The 14,374-nt window shown below is 52.4% G+C and overlaps 1 long non-coding RNA gene, 1 other non-coding gene and 1 pseudogene across 4 annotated transcripts in view, besides 1 other annotated feature; all 3 read left to right on the forward strand.

Moving 5' to 3' along the window:
* The window catches only part of STAG3L5P-PVRIG2P-PILRB (STAG3L5P-PVRIG2P-PILRB readthrough), a 31,767-nt gene that overhangs the window by 7,146 nt on the left and 10,247 nt on the right, over window positions 1-14,374 (forward strand). Inside the window, exons 4-14 of one of the 2 annotated variants that reach the window (NR_036569.1) lie at window positions 2,655-2,758; window positions 6,589-6,677; window positions 8,042-8,200; window positions 8,953-9,268; window positions 9,354-9,457; window positions 9,551-9,704; window positions 9,787-9,913; window positions 10,000-10,060; window positions 10,163-10,802; window positions 11,933-12,030; window positions 13,540-13,673. This is a non-coding gene — a long non-coding RNA (STAG3L5P-PVRIG2P-PILRB readthrough). Of the gene's footprint in view, window positions 1-2,654; window positions 2,759-6,520; window positions 6,678-8,041; window positions 8,201-8,952; window positions 9,269-9,353; window positions 9,705-9,786; window positions 9,914-9,999; window positions 10,061-10,162; window positions 10,803-11,932; window positions 12,031-13,539; window positions 13,674-14,374 lie in introns of both variants that reach the window. The other variant, NR_036570.1, reaches the window with a different exon arrangement.
* Window positions 1,478-2,127: an enhancer, noted in NCBI's record as "active region_26355". NCBI's record gives its function as "activates an Ori minimal core promoter by ATAC-STARR-seq in GM12878 lymphoblastoid cells {active_cell/tissue: GM12878}" and the evidence as "EXISTENCE:reporter gene assay evidence [ECO:0000049][PMID:35858748]".
* PVRIG2P (PVR related immunoglobulin domain containing 2, pseudogene) lies at window positions 9,108-10,726 on the forward strand (annotated as a pseudogene). Its single transcript, NR_103728.1, has 5 exons — window positions 9,108-9,268; window positions 9,354-9,704; window positions 9,787-9,913; window positions 10,000-10,060; window positions 10,163-10,726. The product of NR_103728.1 is annotated as a PVR related immunoglobulin domain containing 2, pseudogene (transcript).
* On the forward strand, window positions 13,441-13,511 carry MIR6840 (microRNA 6840). Its single transcript, NR_106899.1, has one exon. It is a non-coding gene; the product is annotated as a microRNA 6840 (primary transcript).

A 14,374-nucleotide genomic window follows, 5' to 3' on the forward strand; every position in this document is an offset into this window, starting at 1 on the left:
TTAGAGTCATAAGACTCCCAATGTTAGGACATTTATATCAAGGTTTTTTTAAAAATTGTAAGTTATATAAACATATACTAATTCTTCTATATTATACACATTAAAAATGTAACACATGAGTTGAAATAAGTGTTTTAAAATATTTCATTGGTTAGCACTGCAAAATACCTTTTTGCTCTTTTTTTTTTTTTTTTTTTTTTTTTTTTTTGAGACGGAGTCTCGGTCTGTCACCCAGGCTGGAATTGCAGTGGCACGATCTCAGCTCACTGCAAGCTCCACCTCCTGGGTTCACGCCATTCTCCTGCCTTAGCCTCCCGAGTAGCTGGGACTACGGGCGCCCGCCACCATGCCCAGCTACCTTTTGTATTTTTAGTAGAGACGAGGTTTCACTGTGTTAGTCAGGATGGTCTCGATTTCCTGACCTCATGATCCGCCCGCCTCGGCCTCCCAAAGTGCTGAGATTATAGGCGTGAGCCACCGCGCCCGGCCACCCTTTACTTTCAAAAAAGGGTTTAGTGAGAACAAAGTGAGAAACATTTTTTTAAATCATGGTTCAACATTTTCTGAAGTTCAGTTGAAAGTTCAGTTTAGTGCTGGGTGCGGTGGCTCAGGCCTGTAATCCCAGCACTTTGGGAGGCCAGGGTGGGCAGATCAGGAGGTCAAGAGATTGAGACCATCCTGGCCAACATGGTGAAACCCTGTCTCTACTAAAAATACAACAAAATTGGTGGCATGCGCCTGTAGTCCCAGCTACTCAGGAGGCTCAGACAGGAGAATCGCTTGAACCCGGGAGACGGAGGTTGCAGTGAACCGAGATTGCACCACTGCACTCCAGCCTGGCAACTGGACGAGACTCTGTTTCAAAAAAAAAAAAAAAAAGTTCAATTTATTCTGATACTTAATTTTAATGACCTTCATAACTGCCAGGAGTACCTCTCAAAAACAGGCAAATCCAAGTGGATTAGGTGCCTCTTTGCAGTTACCACTTTTTAAATAGATCCAAACCTGCTGAAAATCTTCATCTAGAAGACTTGTGAACAGGTCAGAGGATGATTTCCCGGCGCAGACAACAGTGCTCTCATGAGGACAGGCATTGTCTGGGAGCACAAAACCTGAAGTGTGTGAGCTGCAGTGTGTGGTGATGGGCTGGGGGTTTGCCTCTCTTCCCTCAGGATACTGATCATTTTCCAGGGGAATCATGACTTATCATGTTTTTATCTACACTTGATCTTGGCCAAAAGGCCAAGAAGCGATACTGTCTTTTTGTCTTAAAAGGTTAGAATGTTTCTTTATTTCTACTGCACAACATCTGTGGATACTTTTTTGTGCACGCCCTCACCCTGACAGGCTCAGCTGTGAAGGGTTCATGCCAGCAAGCCCCCTGCTGGCCGTCCAGGACAGCCCAGGGCTCTGGCTTCTCAGCAGCACCTCCCACTGGCCAGGCCCAGGCCAGGCTGGACAAGCTGAGGCCAGCTTAGGTAGCAGGCATGGAGGCCTTTGCCCAGCCTGGTAAGTGATGCAGAGCAGTGCTTTTCAGGGGCTGGCACTGTAGGGTCCAGCCCTACTGGGTCTGTGGGTTTTTCTCCTCGTGTGCGGAGATGAGAGATGGTAGAAATGAAGACACAAGACAAAGAGATAGAAGAAAAGACAGCTGGGCCAGGGGGACCACTACCACCTAGACGCGGAGACCAGTAGTGGCCCTGAATGCCTGACAGCGCTGCTATTTATTGTATACAAGGCAAAGGGGGCAGGGTAAGGAGTGTGAGTCATCTCCATTGATAGATAAGGTCACATGAGTCACGTGTCCACCAGACAGGGGGCCTTTCCCTTTTAGGTAGCTGAGGCGGAGAGAGAGAGGACAGTGTACGTCATTATTTCTTCTATGCTCTTCTCAGAAAGATCAAAGACTTTAATACTTTCACTAATTCTGCTACTGCCATCTAGAAGGTGGAGCCAGGTGTACAGAGCGGAACATGAAAGTGAAACAGGAGGGTGACTGCTGAAGCACAGCATCACAGGGAGACGGTTAGGCCTCCGGATGGCTGTGGGCGGGCCTGACTGATGTCAGGCCTTCCACAAGAGGTGGTGGAGCAGCGTCTTCTCTAACTCCCCCAGGGAAAGGGAGTCTCCCTTTCCCGGTCTGCTAAGTAACAGTTATCTTCCCAGGCACTGGCACCACTGCTAGACCAAGGTCTGCTAAGTAACGGGTGCCTTCCCAGGCACTGGCATTACCACTAGACCAGGGAGCCCTCTAGTGGCCCTGTCCGGGCGTGACAGAGGGTTCACACTCCTGCCTTCTGGTCACTTCTCACCATGTCCCTTCAGCTCCTATCTCTGTATGGCCTGGTTTTTCCTAGGTTATAATTGTAGAACAAAGATTATTATAATATTGGAATAAAGAGTAATGCTATAAACTAATGATTAGTAATATTAATATATAATCATATCTATAATCTATTTCTAGTATCACTATTCTTATTCTATGTATTTTCTTTATTATACTGGAACAGCTTGTGCCCTCGGTCTCTTGCCTTGGCAGCTGGGTGGCTTGCCTCCCACATGGCACTGCTGGGCATTGTCTGTTAATATTGAATAATTGTTTTAAGATTATTTTCAATGATTTTCAATAAGGCTTTACCTTTTTTAACTTGCAGTGTGGCCATGAGGTCTGCCGGAAGTGACTTGTTGGTGTTATCTCCTGAGTTAAAATGTGAAGGGATTTTTTTTTTTCAGATTACTGAGAGTCTTCAGTTACTAGGTAAGTCGCCCCATCCTTATTACTCCAGGTGACACTGACTGGGGTTTATGGGATGAAAGAGGAGTGTGTGCTTGGATGATGGGGTGTGATAGTGAAGGGGTGAAAGGTTTCTTCTCACACATAGACATCGTGAGGTCTTCCTTGAGCTCTTTAGAGCCTTCCCTCGGGATAGGATGAAATACTGAGATCCTAGAAAGGATTCACAAGACGAGTCACTCATCAGTGCAGATTCACCGATTCACCCCTAGATGTGTGTGGGATTTGGATGGCAGAGAGAAACAGGCACTGAAGATTTTTGGTCAGGACAGGGCAGAGAAATAAGGAGAAGAGTTGAAAATTCACCAAAGGATAGATAAACCCGGGGCGTTTAGAGAAAACCTGTAGTGTGCAAAGGAGCCCAGAATCCTGGGGAAACTTGGAGGGAAATATACTTAATTTGATTCACTAAGTTAGGCCCAGTGAAGGGATTGGGTGGCATAGGTAGAAGCCGAAAAATAAAGCATCTTGTATTGCTGGAATAGCCTCTGTTTCTGAGGTCACATCCAAACTTAGCGAGGCAGCTTAACCTGGTGAGAGACACGGGTTCAACTCCTGGCTTCTGCACTGCCAGGGCAAAGGACTGCCGTTTGCTGACACAGTCTTGTAATTCAATTTAATTTTTTAACCAAGGTGTGGGAGAAGGCAGCTCCGCATAATGCTGAATATTATGGGTTCTGAAGCGAAAATTTTTGTCAGGGTTTAAATTTTGGCTTCATTGTGTAAGTAGCCCTTCCACCCCGGGCAAGTTATTTCCCACATAAAGCAATTGCTAAGTATGGAGCTGATGTACGTGCATCACTGAGAATGGGTTTAGCACATAGTATCCACTGAAGACGCTATCTTGCATTAGCTGTATTACTGTGATAAAGGATAAGCTATAATTAAAGTTACAGAGGAACAAAAGCAGCCCTTTTCACAACATTTAAAACATGCATGTAAAAATAAATGCAGCAGTGACAAGTCTTATGCTACAAACTCAGAAGAGCAGAAACAACTTTATTTTTCCTCTATGATTTCAAGCTCTTTTTCTGCCCAGCTGCTGAGAAAATTTAACTCCTGAGTCTTCTTGGCTTCCTTCCTTTTCCCTAAGGTTGTGTCAAGTGCCAAAGCATTTAGGGGAGGGAGGAGGCCTCTAGTCCTCTGTCAAAAATATTTTGGATTTTTATAGTCATTTCCCTTTCTCTGTGGTGAGACTAGGCCCTCCAGGACCCTGTGTTTTGGCCCCAGGAATTGAGGCCATCTGAATCAGCTGCCTGGGTTCCTGTCTGCAGTGGGCCCCATGGGCCTACAGAAGAACAGAGGCTGCTCAGGGCTGGGCTGTTTGCTGCCCAGAACCAAGGCTAGGATGAGGAGCTCAGACTCTTCCAGTGGAAGCAGTGCTAGGACGGAAGACAGCCGCCCCTGAAGAGGGGACATTGACATACAGTTGATCTGCCTGGGAAGGTGTAATAGAGATGAACTTGTGTCATCGCATCTTTCACACAAGCCACAAAGAAAGCTAATCCTGATTCCTGGTGAGAAGAAACCAAACTCGAGGAATGTTTTATATCACAGGACGGTCACAGCCTGTACTGGGGCACGAGCCAGGGCTGAGTAGAGTGCTGCCCCTGCACTCACTGACTTGATCCTCTCATTTACTCTGTGGAGCAGTCCCTGTTGGGATCCTGCTGCTTTGGGAAATTGCTCTGTTAAGCTTGCAGAGCTATGAAATTGTGGCCCTATTTCAAACCCATGAGGGCCTGATTCTACAGACTGACCACTGGGCTCTTTTACTTCAGCAGGACTTGGGCTGGGGCTGCAGGGATTTCACCAAGGAATGTCAGGCAGGAGGTGGCCATTGTGAAACCTGTCCCATCTTGCCTGTACCTCCTGGCTGAAAGTGGGATGCAGGACTTAGATTGCCAAGCTTAGGAATTATTTGTGGCTCTGCTGTTCACAATTTTGGAGAATGTTAAGGAATACTCAAGAAGTTGTGAGAGTAAGGGCCCTCACATATATCAGAACATGAAAGCATTCCAGTTAGGACCTTGTGATATTGAAACTAGAATAAGCAACCCAGTGGATAGACTGTGAAAGAGAATCCACATATAGACCTATGTGTAAGAATTTATGATCAAGGTGGCATTTTGAAACAGTAGGGAAGGAGCCCAGCAGCAAATGGTCTGGGGAATCCTGGCCCTCCACCTGAGACGTTACACGGCTCTTTTTTTGAGACGGAGTTTTGCTCTTGTGCCCAGGCTGGAGTGCAATGGTGGGATCTCGGCTCACCACAACCTCCGCCCCTGGGTTTAAGCGGTTCTCCTGCCTCAGCCTCCCAAGTAGGTGGCATTACAGGCATGCGCCACCACACCCAGCTAATTTTGTATATTTAGTAGAGATGGGATTTCTCCATGTTGGTCAGGTTGGTCTCGAACTCCTGACCTCAAGTGATCCACCTGCCTCGGCCTCCCAAAGTGCTGGGATTACAGGCATGAGCCACTGCACCCAGCTACACAGCCTTTTTTTTTTTCTTTTTTTGAGACAGAGTCTCGCTCTGTCACCCAGGCTGGAGTGCAGTGGCGCGATCTCTGCTCACCGCAAGCTCCGCCTCCCGGGTTCACGCCATTCTCCTGCCTCAGCCTCCTGAGTAGCTGGGACTACAGGCGCCCGCCACCACACCCAGCTAATTTTTTTCGTATTTTTAGTAGAGACAGGGTTTCATCGTGTTAGCCAGGACAGTCTCGATCTCCTAACCTCATGATCTGCCTGCCTCGGCCTCCCAAAGTGTTGGGATTACAGGCATGAGCCACCATGCCCGGCCTACACAGCCTTTTTAACACCACCTCCAAAGTAAAGTTCTTCATGGACTAGGAAGAAACTCTTTATAGAGTTATGCATAAAAACAAAGCCATAAAAATATTTTCATAATCTTAGCCTTCCTAAGGAATACACAAACAGAAATGATAATGTTAAAGATCAAGCCTCATGAGAATTCAAACAGGGAGGGGAACAGAAGGAGCTGGCCAAAGGAGAACTTTGTGTTCTATGTTGTTTGAATCTTACACAATGAGAATTTAGGGGATAATGTGACTTAAAAAATTGAAAAAAAAAATGAAAATGGTGGGTAGTCAACTTTGCACCATGGCTTTTAAATCCCTCAATAAATTCTGGGCTCCCCATATTGGGGTGAATAAAAGACACACTTCCTCCAGGGCTCAGCATCCACCTGTGAAAATGCCCCCAGGACTGTCGAGAACCCAGCTGGGAGGCCACTTGGATGATTATCCAAGAAGTAAGGGCGCAGTACTTTGGGGCAGCTTCCTGAAGGTGGTGGGATTTGATCTCCTTCTTACAAAGTGGGATTTCAGCAGGTGGTGTAGGGAAGTTTAAATTTTTTCCCTGAAGGTTTGATAATCTGAGTCTATGAAACAAACATAAAACATTAACAGGAAAAAAAACCGACTTAAAAATGTTACTACGTGCACACATGTGCACAAGTCATACAAAATATATAAAAAAATAAATGGCCAGATGGTTGACACTTTTATACCCATCTTGAAATTACAGAAATAACGGGAGGCCTGGAGCGCAGCAAGACAGATTAGGGGAAGGGGAGAGGAGAGACTTGGCTAGCAAAGGTCTTGTTCTGCAGGTGACATCTCACAGCTGGTACTCTGCGGAGCCTGTGGTAGGCAAGTCCTTCAGACCCTTAAAGGGGTCCGCCTCTCAGTTTGTCTTTCCTAGATCCAGACACGGGGACTGCAGAGAAAGGCTGTGTGCATCCGCTGTCTACTCCACTGTCTCCTCTGCAGAGGCGGATTTCCCTGACTGAAGACCATGTTGCAGGCCCACAGCTGCCTACAGAACCGTCCCAAAATATGGCAAAGAAACCTATTCTGAGGTTAAATATTTTGGTTTCTTTCAGTGGGAGGCAAGGGTCTTCCGGACTAGGGAGGTAGATGTGCAGCAGCCTCAGGTGCTCTAGGTGCTTTGTAGCTACGCTGGCCAGGCCACCTGAGGTAGGTCCCCTTTGCACCAGTCTCACACCCTGCTGGGGGATGGTAGTGGAGACAGCAGTAAAAGCAGGTCTGAGGCAGGTGTGGAGATTAGTACAGGTGGCCTGGGCGAAGGGCAAAGGGTGAAGAGAATGTTGGGAGCCATGGGTGACTGGCTGCGGGCATAGGCACCATGAAGGCTACTATGGGCTGCAGGGTGTGGATGAGGGGACAGAGTTTGCCCCAGAGACCAAGTTGGTTTGTGTCAAACACCACAGGATTTTTATTTTGTATTTTTTTTTAATTTTTAATTTTTAAATTTTTTTTTGAGATAGGGTCTCACTTTTACCCATGCTGGAGTGTAGTGGCGTGATCTTGGGTCACTGCAGCCTCCACCTCCCAGGCTCAAGTGATCCTTCCGCCTCAACCTCCCGAGTAACTGGGACTACAGGCGAAAGCCACCACACCCGGCTAATGTTTATTTTTTGTAAAGGCAGGGTCTCACTATGTTGCCCAGGCTGGTCTCAAACTCCTGGGCTCAAGTGATCCACCCACCTCAGCCTCCGGAAGTACTGGGATTATAGTCATGAGCCACCACATCCAGCCAGCACCACAGGATTAAGCAGACATGATGAGTCTTTGACACAGGGGCAAACCAGGACCCAGAGAGGTGACTTGGGACAGGGCTGTCTCTTCAGTCCTTACCACACCGTGGACGAGATCAACCTTAAGACAGCACCCTGGGCTCTCACTGGACCCTGGATTCTGGCTCACAGCACACAAAGCAAACTGATCCCTGGAAAGGGTCACTTGTTGCTGCCTAGCAGCATTCTGGTAGGTTGGCATCCTCAAAGTGACATAAGCAGTGAAGCAATTCAGAGCAACATTTATTTATCAAGACAGGGTCTCACTCTGTCACCCAGACTGGAGTGCAGTGGTGTAATCACAGTTCACTGCAACTTCTGCCTCCTGGGCTTAAGCGATCCTTCAACCTCAGCCTCCCAAATAGTTGAAACTACAGGTGCCCACCACCACTCCTGGCTAATTCTTTCTTTCTTGCTTGCTTGCTTGCTTGCTTGCTTGCTTGCTTGCTTGCTTGCTTGCTTTCTTTCTTTCTTTCTTTCTTTCTTTCTTTCTTTCTTTCTCTTTCTTTTTCTTTCTTTCTTTCTTCTTCTTTCTTTCTCTCTCTTTTTCTCTGTCTCTCTCTCTCTCCCTCCCTCCCTCTCTCTCTCTTTTTCTTTCTTTCTTTCTTTTTTTTTTTTTTTTGTAGCGATAGGGTCTCACCATGTTGCCCAGGCTGGTCTTGAACTCCTGGACTCATCCTAAAGTGCTGGCCTCTCATTCCCTGTCTGTGCACACCTCACGGCAAGGGCCAGCCTGTTTCCTCCCGGTCACCTCCAAATCTTGCTGCTTTTAATTCAACTCAGAGGTATGCACTTGAGGTAGGAGGGCAGGGGAAGTGGGGATGGCAGGACATGGATGGCCCTTGAGGCATTGGCTCTGGGTGTCATGGGCTGTGAGAGTCAAGAAGGGCAGTGGCCTGCCTGACTTGGGTTCGAAAGGGTCACTCTGGCCACTGCGGTGAGAACTGAAACTAGCCAGGCCAATTCTCCATTGTTCCTGCTCTTCCAGGTAGGAGAATATTAGATTAGGTCTGGAGTCAGAAGGTAGCAGGGGCTGGGGGTTGCAGGGGGATGTTGAGAAGAAGTGGTCCTTTGGTCAGGGTGGGAAGCCAACAGGATTTCCTGGTGCATTGGAGGTGAAAGGGAAGAGGCGCTGGTGGTTGTGCTTTGGGCCTGAGCAGCCAGAAGCCGTTGCCATCACCTATGACAAGGGAGACAGCGCCTGGGGCAGAGCCCAGTATGGGGTGCATTCAGGGTAGATCAGGAGGTATGAGTGGGCAGTGGGCGAGCCAGGCTGGGGGTTGTGGGGGAGGCCTGGGTTGCAGGTTTAAGCGTGGGACCCACGTCAGATTGGTGGTGGGTCATGCATGCTGGGGTGGCTCTCAGGTCCTCCCTGCTGGCTTCCCACTCCCAGGGGCTTTCTCCTCCCAGATTCCTTAGCTGGGTGAGGGGCAGGACAGAGCCCTTTCCTAGGGAAGCCCGGCACCCCCTGCTGTCCAGGGAAGGGGAGTCCTTCTAGCCCCTGACAGCTTCTCTGCCCCTCCCCTGGCCTCCCCAGGCCTAGCCAGGGTTGAGTTCTCACCCACCTGTGCCGCCCTGCCTTGTTACCTGGAAGCACAGCCTTGGGGACTGAGCAGGCCCTCACTGTCACTTTAAGAAGGGAATCAGCCACTTTGTGCTCACCACCTCTGGGGAAGGTGTGAGAGGAGAGAAGGAAGTGGCTGTTTGGCTGCTGACAACATGAAGACTTCCTGCGATGAGAACAGAGGCACAGGTGCCGGCCCTGCAGCCCCCAGAACCCGGACTGGAGGGGGCCATGGGGCGCCGGACCCTGGCCCTGCCCTGGGTGCTGCTGACCCTGCGTGTCACTGCAGGTGAGTGCCGGCACCAGAGAGGGGCAGGGGCTGCAGGGAGGGTGATGTAGGACGACAGCCCACCCACCTTGCTGCTGTTCCACAGGGACCCCGGAGGTGTGAGTACAAGTTCGGATGGAGGCCACCGAGCTCTCGTCCTTCACCATCCGTTGTGGGTTCCTGGAGTCTGGCTCCATCTCCCTGGTGACTGTGAGCAGGGGGGGCCCCGATGGTGCTGGGGGGACCACGCTGGCTGTGTTGCACCCGGAACTTGGCATCCAGCAATGGGCCCCTGCTCGCCAGGCCCGCTGGGAAACCCAGAGCAGCATCTCTCTCATCCTGGAAGGCTCTGGGGCCAGCAGCCCCTGCGCCAACACCACCTTCTGCTGCAAGTTTGCGTCCTTCCCTGAGGGCTCCTGGGAGGCCTGTGGGAGCCTCCCGCCCAGCTCAGACCCAGGTGGGGCCGGGGTGAGGGGTCCAGGAGGGCAGGGAGGGGCTCGGGAACTGGCCATCCATCTGATTCTTGCCTCTGTGCCCAGGGCTCTCTGTCCCGCCGACTCCTGCCCCCATTCTGCGGGCAGACCTGGCCGGGATCTTGGGGGTCTCAGGAGTCCTTCTCTTTGACTGTGGCTACCTCCTTCATCTGCTGTGCCGACAGAAGCACCGGTGAGACCTGGGCCCTGTCCACGTCCCCCTGACACTGGGCTGGCCACATGCCGTGCAGAGCTCTGACCATCCTTGCTCTCTCCCAGCCCTGCCCCTAGGCTCCAGCCATCCCACACCAGCTCCTAGGCACTGAGAGCACGAGCATGGGTGAGGAGGGGGGCTGCTTTGGGGATGAGGTGGCAGGGGTAGGGGGGGCCAGGGCTGGGCCCAAGCTGTACAGACTCACTTGATCCTCCTTCCCCCGCGCAGGCACCCAGCCAGGCCTCCCAGGCTGCTCTCCACGTCCCTTATGCCACTATCAACACCAGCTGCTGCCCAGCTACTTTGGACACAGCTCACCCCCGACAGGGGGCCGTCCTGGTGGGCATCACTCCCCACCCACACCGCACACTGGCCCCAGGGCCCTGCTGCCTGGGCCTCCACATCCATCCCTGCACATGGCAGCTTTGTCTCTGTTGAGAATGGACTCTACGCTTAGGCTGGGCAGAGGCCTCCCTGCACTGGTCCTGGCCTCACTCTTTTCCCTGACCCTTGGGGCCCAGGGCCATGGAGGGACCCTTAGGAGTTCAATGAGAGAGACCATGAGGCCACTGGGCTTTCCCCTTCCCAGGCCTCCTGGGTGCCACCCCCTTACGTTATTCTTGGGCCTCTAATAAGTGTCCCACAGGTGCCTGGCCAGGCCCACCTGCTGCAGATGTGGTCTGTGTGTGTGCATGTGTGGGTGTGTGTGGGCACAGGTGTGAGTGTGTGAGCAACAGTACCCCATTCCAGTCGTTTCCTGCTGTGACTAAGTCAGCAACACAGTTCCTCTGACATGGGCCTTGGCTGTGCTTCTTTGGGGGTGAAGAGATTGGGGAGGAAGTCTCCACCCCTGGGAGGCAGAAGCCAGGTGAGAACCAGAGTGGGTTGGGGCCTCCTTGCAGGGCTGGGTTTGGCCCAGGGAGAGGGCAGTGTCCCAGTCTTAGAGATCTGTCCTGGCTTCTTGGGGTGGCGGGGGGTTGGGGGAGCTTCCTGAGGGACACCTGTGGCTTCCTAGACAGAATTGGGGGATCCCAGCGGGATGGTCCCTGCTGCAATCCCACCATGTCCTAGGACAGCAGCAAGGGTTCCTGGGGCTTCAGCCTGAGAAAAGTCCCTGTGATTTGACCTGGCGTCCCTCTGCCGGGCTCCCTGCTGTGGCCTGGGCTAGAGTCCTGATGCCCTCCTTCCACAGCTGGCATCAGGCAGGGCTGGAAAGTAGGAGGACTTGCCTGAAATCTGGCTGGATTTCAGAGCCTTGCTCTGTCACCCAGGCTGGAGTGCATTGGCACGATCTTGGCTTACTTCAACCTCCACCTCCCGGGTTCTAGTGATTCTCCTGCGTCAGCCTCCCGAGTAGCTGGGACTACGGATGTGCACCATCGTGTCCGCTAATTTTTGTATTTTTTTTTTTTTTTTCAGTAGAGACGGGTTTCACCATGTTTGGCTGGGCTGGTCTCGAACTCCTGACCTCAGGTGATCCACCCACCTTGGCCTCCCAAAGTGCTGAGATTACAGACTTGAGCCACGGTGCCCCGCCTGAATAGGAGCTTCTTAATCAAAATTTCAGCATGGCTCTGGGTCAAAATTGACCAGCTGATTTAATAAGTTGATGTAAAAATTTTACAGTCAGCTACCCCTGGGAGGGGGAGTCTCTCCCTAGTCAGTGAGGCACCAGATGCCAGAGCATTGGCAATGTACAAGGGGCTCAGCCCTGTGGCTCATATGTGTAATCCCAGCACACTGAGAGGATGCCTTGAGCCTGGGAGATTGAGGCCAGCCTGGGTAACAGTGACACCACGTCTCTGCAAAAAAGAAAATTAGGGGAGAACTGTGGTGCGTGCCTATAGTCCCACCTACAGGCAGAGCGAGACCATGTCCCCCACTAAAAAGAGGCCAAGAATGCAGGAAATATAGATAATATGGGCCCTGTGATGGGTGGAGGCCAAATAGATCAATACAGAATTGAAGAAGACACAGAGCACTTGTATTTCCCTTCAGGCATAGCGCGCTGGCTAGGACTCCAGTACCGTGAAGGGAGGCAGTGAGAGCAGACATCTGTGCCTCATTCCTGATCTCAAGGGGAAAGCAAGAACAAGGTGGGTGCCAAGGAGGGGCAAGGGGCTGGGGCAGGCATAGACGTGGCTGGTGAGGAAAGGAGGATAGTTGTTGGGGGAAGGTGGGGACATACAAGCAGCAGTTCTCAAAATGGGCAGGGTCCTGGCCCCCTCCCTGCCTCTGCTGAACACTGCATCCCATGCCTCTCCCATGGCCACCTGCTGGGCTAACGGGCTGGATTTAGACTCTGCCCATGTTGGAATCATGCCCTCCTCCAGGGCCGGTGCCTCCCAAAACCCCCCTCTGAGAGAGAGCCACAGCCCCAGGCTTAGCCCCAGGCCCTGTCACTGCTGTTGGGGGAGGGAGGATGAACCATCCGGGAGGCCTCACACCATTCCAGAGCAGAAATCCTGACACAAAAGGAATCTCCCATGGGGGTTCAGCTGGGTCCAGAGCCCGGAAAGTGACATAAACACGCACCTTGCATCTAAGGAGAATGCACGTGGCGGTACCGGGCCTGAGGCCCCTGGGGAGTATGTACCCTCCAGAGCTACCCAGAGGCTGTTGGCTAAAAGTTCTATGTGGCCCCCTCCTTGGGCAGCCTGGTAAGCAGGTGACCTTCTAGCTGGGTCCCATGGGCCACGGGCAAGGCAGGAATGGAACGAAGAGTCAGTCCTCAGTGGCTGGGTGTTGTATCCCATGCCTATAATCCCAGCACTTTGGGAGGCTGAGGTGGGCAGATCACTTGAGGCCAGGAGTTTGAGACCAGCCTGGCCAACATGGTGAAACCCTGTCTCTACTAAAAATATAAAAATTAGCTGGGTGTGGTGGCACACACCTGTAATTCCCAGCTACTTGGAAGGCTGAGGCAGGAGAATTACTTGAACCCAGGAAGCAGAGGTTACCGTGAGCCAAGATCACACCATTGCACTCCAGCCTGGGCAACACAGCGAGAATCCATCTCAAAAAAAAAAAACAAAAAGTCCTCAGGCAGGGTGGGCCACCCTCTTGAGGCCTTGCCCAAACAGCCAGGGGGTCCCTTGTCCTCTTTTCGGCCCACCTTTGCAGGTGGGACCAGTTCAGTCCAAAGCCCCGGTGCCTCAGTTTCCCTGTGGGTTGAACAAGGAGAATGAGGTGTATAGGGCCTGGCTCAGACGGAGGGGTTTCCTGAGCATGGGGAGCCTGTTTCCTCAGACCTGTGAAGGGAAGGAGGGTGGATCGGCCTGACTGGCCCTGGGAAGCACAGAGGAGCCTACTGGGACCAGGGAAGAGACTGACAAGAGAAGGGAGGCCTGTCCCTGCCTGCTTCTGTCTCAAGAAGATTGTTATCACTTCCTCTGGTGAAATCCTGCCTTCCTGTCCCCACGGCCCCTCAGCTGATGCCACCTTACTCTGGAGAGGATGGGCAGAGCCTCCTATGGAGGGAGCCCTGTGGGTCACCAAAGCTCCAGTGACCACCCCCGGGCAAAGACCTGCAGATCCCCTGTTAGAGACGGGCCCAGGACTTTGTGCGGGGTGCCCACTGTTGCTCTGAGCCTTCACTTCCTCAGGGAGGCTTCCTCAGGATCTCGAACCTGCGGAAGGAGGACCAGTCTGTGTACTTCTGCCAAGTCCAGCTGGACATACAGATCAGGGAGGCTGTCGTGGCAGTCCATCAAGGGGACCCACCTCACCATCACCCAGGGTGAGTCCAGCTGCCCTGGCACCAAGGAACCTTCCTGGTTCAGCCATAGGCTCAGGTGTGTGGAGGGAATGACCTGAGGGGCTGTATGAGGGAACAACCTCCTGGGGCTCCCCTATGCCTGAGTTCCTGCAACTCAGAAGTTGAGGCCCAGAGATCCAGGTAGAGGGGGCTCCAGTCCTGGGACTGCCCTGCAAGTCATGTGGCCTGGGACAGGGCTTCTCCAAGCTCTGTCCCCTCCTGTGTAGGGCAGGGAGGTCAGAGGGGACCCTGCAGATCCAGTCTCATGTCTGGGGGTCAAGGGGTGGCCTCGAGAGGGACCAGTCTCTGTGTAGGGGACCGTCAGCCCCCTCACCCCTTGAGCAAGACTGTGGTCCCTGCACCAAGGGAGCAGGCCTGGGGTGGGAAGAGGCCAGCTGGGCTGTGGTGGTGCCTGGGGACTGCATGGGAGCCCCTGCCAGGGAGGGAGAGGGACAGAGGACAAGCTGGGGGCTCTGGTGCTTGGGCTGGGGGCTGAGCGCCTGTGACCTCCACTGGCTTCCTCCTTCTCCTCTCTGAGGACTGAATCTGGGGTGCAGCAGAGCACAGACTCAGGCCCGCCTTTCCTCTCCCTGAAAGAGCCTGCGCTGGCCTTGGACAGAGAAAGGGATGAGAAGTGAGGCTGAGTGCGGTGGGGTCTGCAGGGATCCAGGTGGGAGGGGCCC

This window comes from Homo sapiens, chromosome 7 (assembly GCF_000001405.40).
Source record: "Homo sapiens chromosome 7, GRCh38.p14 Primary Assembly".
Lineage (NCBI taxonomy): Eukaryota > Metazoa > Chordata > Mammalia > Primates > Hominidae > Homo > Homo sapiens.